The sequence below is a fragment of the Homo sapiens genome, chromosome 7 (genome assembly GCF_000001405.40).
Source record: "Homo sapiens chromosome 7, GRCh38.p14 Primary Assembly".
Classification (NCBI taxonomy): Eukaryota; Metazoa; Chordata; class Mammalia; order Primates; family Hominidae; genus Homo; species Homo sapiens.
In genome coordinates, this window is record NC_000007.14 from 156264842 (window position 1) to 156271249 (window position 6408).

The 6408-nt window shown below is 44.6% G+C and overlaps 3 annotated features.

Moving 5' to 3' along the window:
- Window positions 3516-4313: an enhancer, noted in NCBI's record as "SBE2". NCBI's record gives its function as "enhancer in the ventral diencephalon" and the evidence as "EXISTENCE:transgenic organism evidence [ECO:0001131][PMID:16407397]".
- Window positions 3673-3679: a protein binding site, noted in NCBI's record as "SoxB1 binding site". NCBI's record gives the evidence for it as "EXISTENCE:protein binding evidence [ECO:0000024][PMID:22421044]".
- Window positions 3969-3978: a protein binding site, noted in NCBI's record as "Six binding site". NCBI's record gives its function as "required for enhancer activity" and the evidence as "EXISTENCE:protein binding evidence [ECO:0000024][PMID:18836447]".

The window sequence follows — 6408 nt, forward strand, 5'->3', positions numbered from 1 at the left end:
GATTTCCCATCAACAGCAGAAGTTCCACCATTTCAGAATGAGCCCATTTGCCCCTAAGCTCAGACCTATATGCTGAGTCTGTCTACCTGCTGGAGACTGTCCTGTTTCTCCTCTATGCTGAGTCTGTCTACCTGGTGCAGACTGTCCTGTTTCTCCTCTATGCTGAGTCTGTCTACCTGGTGGAGACTGTCCTGTTTCTCCTCTATGCTGAGTCTGTCTACCTGGTGGATACTGTCCTGTTTCTCCTCTATGCTAAGTCTGTCAACCTGGTGGAGACTGTCCTGTTTCTCCTCTGTGCTGAGTCTGTCTACCTGCTGGAGACTGTCCTGTTTCTCCTCTATGCTGAGTCTGTCTACACGGTGGAGACCGTCCTGTTTCTCCTCTGTGCTGAGTCTGTCTACCTCGTGGAGACTGTCCTGTTTCTTCTCTATGCTGAGCCTGTCTACACGGTGGAGACTGTCCTGTTTCTCCTCTATGCTGAGTCTGTCTACACGGTGGAGACCGTCCTGTTTCTCCTCTATGCTGAGCCTGTCTACCTGGTGGAGACTGTCCTGTTTCTTCTCTATGCTGAGCCTGTCTACACGGTGGAGACTGTCCTGTTTCTCCTCTATGCTGAGTCTGTCTACACGGTGGAGACTGTCCTGTTTCTCCTCTATGCTGAGTCTGTCTACACGGTGGAGACTGTCCTGTTTCTCCTCTATGCTGAGTCTGTCTACCTGGTGGAGACTGTTCTGTTTCTCCTCTATGCTGAGTCTGTCTACATGGTGGAGACCACCCTGTTTCTCCTCTGTGCTGAGTCTGTCTACCTGGTGGAGACTGTCCTGTTTCTTCTCTATGCTGAGCCTGTCTACACAGTGGAGACTGTCCTGTTTCTCCTCTATGCTGAGTCTGTCTACACGGTGGAGACCGTCCTGTTTCTCCTCTGTACTGAGTCTGTCTACCTGGTGGAGACTGTCCTGTTTCTTCTCTATGCTGAGCCTGTCTACACGGTGGAGACTGTCCTGTTTCTCCTCTATGCTGAGTCTGTCTACACGGTGGAGACCGTCCTGTTTCTCCTCTATGCTGAGCCTGTCTACCTGGTGGAGACTGTCCTGTTTCTTCTCTATGCTGAGCCTGTCTACACGGTGGAGACCGTCCTGTTTCTCCTCTATGCTGAGCCTGTCTACCTGGTGGAGACTGTCCTGTTTCTCCTCTATGCTGAGTCTGTCTACCTGGTGGAGACTGTCCTGTTTCTCCTCTATGCTGAGTCTGTCTACACGGTGGAGACTGTCCTGTTTCTCCTCTATGCTGAGCCTGTCTACATGGTGGAGACTGTCCTGTTTCTCCTCTATGCTGAGCCTGTCTACACGGTGGAGACTGTCCTGTTTCTCCTATATGCTGAGTCTGTCTACCTGGTGGAGACTGTCTTGTTTCTCCTCTGTGCTGAGCCTGTCTACATGGTGGAGACTGTCCTGTTTCTCCTCTATGCTGAGCCTGTCTACACGGTGGAGACTGTCCTGTTTCTCCTCTGTGCTGAGTCTGTCTACATGGTGGAAACCGTCGTGTTTCTCCTCTATGCTGAGCCTGTCTACACGGTGGAGACTGTCCTGTTTCTCCTGTATGCTGAGCCTGTCTGCATGGTGGAAACTGTCCTGTTTCTCCTCTATGCTGAGTCTGTCTACCTGGTGGAGACTGTCCTGTTTCTCCTCTATGCTGAGCCTGTCTACATGGTGGAGACTGTCCTGTTTCTCCTCTGTGCTGAGTCTGTCTACCTGGTGGATACTGTCCTGTTTCTCCTCTATGCTCAGTCTGTCAACCTGGTGGAGACTGTCCTGTTTCTCCTCTATGCTGAGTCTGTCTACACGGTGGAGACTGTCCTGTTTCTCCTCTATGCTGAGCCTGTCTACACGGTGGAGACTGTCCTGTTTCTCCTCTGTGCTGAGTCTGTCTACACGGTGGAGACTGTCCTGTTTCTCCTCTATGCTGAGCCTGTCTACATGGTGGAGATTGTCCTGTTTCTCCTCTGTGCTGAGTCTGTCTACACGGTGGAGACTGTCCTGTTTCTCCTCTATGCTGAGCCTGTCTACCTGGTGGAGACTGTCCTGTTTCTCCTCTATGCTGAGCCTGTCTACATGGTGGAGACTGTCCTGTTTCTCCTCTGTGCTGAGTCTGTCTACACGGTGGAGACCATATTGTTTCTCCTCTATGCTGAGTCTGTCTACATGATGGAGACTGTCCTGTTTCTCCTCTATGCTGAGTCTGTCTACACGGTGGAGACTGTCCTGTTTCTCCTGTATGCTGAGCCTGTCTGCATGGTGGAAACTGTCCTGTTTCTCCTCTATGCTGAGTCTGTCTACATGGTGTAGACCATATTGTTTCTCCTCTATGCTGAGCCTGTCTACATGGTGGAGACTGTCCTGTTTCTCCTATATGCTGAGTCTGTCTACATGGTGGAGACCATATTGTTTCTCCTCTATGCTGAGTCTCCTCTATGCTGAGCAGATTTCTCAGCCATCTTCTTGAAAACTTGTCTTTATAATCTTGGCTTCCACGACCCTGCAACAAGAACGTTGTGTTTCTACTAGCTACACCTGCTCTTTTACTCTAAATGTCAACACCAATAGTTTGATACTCATGATAGACTGCATGATCTTGCTTTTGAATTTGTGTATCTGTTCTCTCTCTTTGGGTCATGAGTTTGTAAAAGTTGGGCATTACTGCTTTCTATTTTTTCTCTCCTTGATAGACACAAGCTGTACATCATCATAAATGAATAAATGAGAATAAGATTTTATGCATCTGCAAAAATTTTCATTTCAATGACTGAAAATGAGCATATCAAAAATGTGTCACTTTTCCTTTCAGAATTTATTTTCTTTATTGCTCAATAACGTTGGACTGTTAGGAAAGGGAAATAGGGATCCTATCCCATTAGGGATAGGAAATTGAGCTCACATTCTGGTTTTGCTTGGGAAGCATGCATAGAAATAAACAGGCTTTTGAAGTTATTAAAGACAGATGTGAGCGTCACTGTATAAACTGAAACTATTGAGAAGTGAAATACTCATCGAGTTAGTTACTTTTCATGCTGGCTTTGAATACTATGGAATCCAACCCTTTAACAAAGTGAAATTCGGGGACTCTGATTGTAAAGGGGTGTGCGTGTTTATTTTACATAACTGTTAATTGCCACAGTGACCCCAATGGGATGAATTAGTCAAGGATAGTCATAAAGAAATTCTGGCTACTAAGAAAGCTACAGGGTATGCACCTAAGACATCCTAGGTTCAACATTTGTCTGGGTTTGTTCTACACAATGTAATGATAGATTTTATAATAGTCATGTCACGGTGGCTAAAAACTTAAATGTCATATCAAGAGAGATTAACCTAAAAGCAAACCATCATCTTCATGTTTTTCAATGCACAGCTTAATTACTTTTAAAATTCCAGTCCTGACGATGGAGATGCAGATGACCTCGCAGTGCGTGAGGTCACACTGTGCGGTGCCCATCCATTTGCCTAGCGTTTCCAACATGCAGCCTCACCCGAGCAGGCTAACCTGGAGGCCACCGTGTGACCTGGTGTTTGTGTGTCTATCTGCATATTTTTTTGATGAGTGTGAATGTGAGTTGCAGGACAACAAAGCGACTTAGAGAATCTTTAATTTCATATTCTAACTAGTTAGCCCTATTTGTTTGCTTTGAATTACTCATTTCAATAAGGTGAAAACTTGTGCTAATCCTCTATTCATCAGTTGCCTGGGTGCGTGTGAAATGGATCATGTGGACAAAACAAACCCCGGCCAGACGCAACCTGCCATTGTCTCCTAAGCTGCTTCGAGGGGACTCTTCGCAGGTACCAAGAAGCCACTTTAACCACTTCACATATTTCTGAAGATCCTCTCCTTTTCTTCGCATCGCACATGACTCAGGCACAGAAGAAAAGCCAAAAGCAGGCATCAGATGAAGGAAAAACTCAAGTAGGCCGAACTCATTTTCCACACACAGAGAGATAATTGGCACTGCGGCGATTTTGGAGAGCTGAATTAAATGAATAAATTGTGACATGGGAAAAACTGAAAAGGACAACAGTTTCCTGGCTCACACGGAATCCTTACCTTGGGTAGGCATTTTTCTTGAAGATCAATTGATAAAACAGGACAACAATGTTTTTCCCCATTAATTGCTTTCAAACACTGTCCCGTTAAACACCCAATTAAAAGGTAGAAGTGTGGTCCTCTGTTTGCTTCTAATGACCACACATGAGAGGCTGGGGGCAGATGGGGAGGAGGGATGGGAGAGGGAGAAAGGAATGAATGGGAGAGTCTAGCATTTTCTTTTATGGGTTGCAGAATAAAAAGATCAATGGAAAAGGTTTATCACGTCTTTAGCCTGCAGCAGCCTACCGAAAGACCAGCACCTTAGAAACACAACGTAAGCCACATAACTCTTCTGAAAGAGAATGGTTCTTTGGAACTTCCTTGGAATTGACATGTCTAAAGACACTTGCACATCCAACCAAATATCCAGGTTAATTTATGCACAAGAAAATATGTGGTCAGCTCAAAAATATATTAAATCTGCCGCTTACCCAGTAATTTCAAATTGTGACATTCTAAACATTGTCTAAGTCACAAATGTAAACAACAAAATAACAAAGTAAGCAGAATTGGTTGTATTTTGACCACGGCAGAACTTCTCATCTGGGAAGAGACCAATGAGTGCTTTACTGTTAGAGCCGTAGCTTGTGTGGAGGGTTCAGTTGGGGTTGGGATGTGAAAGAGGGAAAGAGGGGGAGAATCTGTGAATGGCCAGTGTATCTTGGGCACAGATCCCAGTCCTTTCTCTCTTCCATATCCTTCACTTTCTCCCATTCTTTTACCCTCTGAGTCCTGTTTTTATATCTATCTTGCAGTGTGTAGAATTTGATAAATGAAAATAGTGAAAACTACTTCCAGCTTTGCATGGCATCAAATAATTTGGGGGTAGGGAGAGCAAGGAGACAAATTTTAGAATACACTTTGTCTCTACTTATATGGATTCTTCTTGGTTAGGACAGAAAATTGACCATAACAGAAAAGATACTGAGAACAACTGTTCCATTTAAAGTTACCATTTGAAGATAGTATGGCGTACCCTGGGGAAGCCCATTCAGGAGTTGGTTGAGACGACCCTATCTACAAAGTATGCTCAGGGCAAGTTAGGTTCAAATTTGACATGGCTAGCCCATTGTAACGCAATATTGTCTGTAGATTTTGTATTTCTATTTGGTTAATAAATAACAATGATGATGACCATAGCTAATATTTCTTGAGTGCTTACTACAAGCCAGGATTGTCTAAAGCATTTGTGAACTTATTGATTCACACAAAAATCTAGGAGGTGAGTCCTAATAGTATCCTCATTTTATAGATGGAAAATCTGGGTCACCAAAATGTAAAATAATACTTTTGTGTACACACAGCTAAGAAGTCTTAGAGTTGGAATGTGAATTGTTTTGTTTCACTTTTGTGTGGGACTTCGTCTTTAGCCAAAAATCTGTGCAAGGTGATTACCATCTTATTAATTTATCCCATGATTATCTGGCCAAAGATATTAACCTTTAAAATGATGTGGTTACAAGAAACATGTTGAGTCAAAGTCAGTTTGGGATTTTGCAGAGCTTAATATATAGATGAGAAGAAGGTTGGCAGGAATGATCCAGTTTATAGATGGGACACGATTTCCCTGACAAAAAGCCCTGATACTTCCTCTTGAGTCCTCAAAGCTGAAGCAAGGCTGATTCACTGACTGCTAGGATTCATTTAAATTCAAGACATCATAAAAGTAACAGGAAAATTGAACAACAACAACATTAATAGAATGGGACACATTGTGAGATTGCTTTTGATTGTATCCACAGGATTTCTGAGAACAAGATGAACAATCGCTCCATGAATCAGGGCAGTGTAGTTGGTTTTGAATATTAATCCATACCAATGCTATAACTTTCCACTTACTACTTAGAACATTCAGACAAAAGCAGATCTTGGAAACATACATTAAGTCATCTTTATGAGGACAAAGCCATCCCTGGCCTTAGGACACAGATATGGCCCAGGGGGATACTCCAGGACCGACCATTTTCTAATGCCGGTCCAGCTGACACAGGATTTTCCAGTGTCACTTCACCAACTGGAGGCCTCCATTGCTGGTGACGCCCCTGCCCAGGCCTTGCTCAGCCCCAGGCTCGCTGCTGGAGGTATCCCACCCACTGGGCCCATTTATGTTACAGCTCATTCAGTCCCCCTGCCCCACTCTGGTCCATGGCTCTGGGGCTGGCCTGGCTCTGTTGCTGCTTCCTGTCATGTGGGGAAGCTCCCTGGCACTGGCAGAGGGCAGAGAGCTACTGTGTTACAGCCTTTTTCATACCTGTTTTTAGAAGGTCC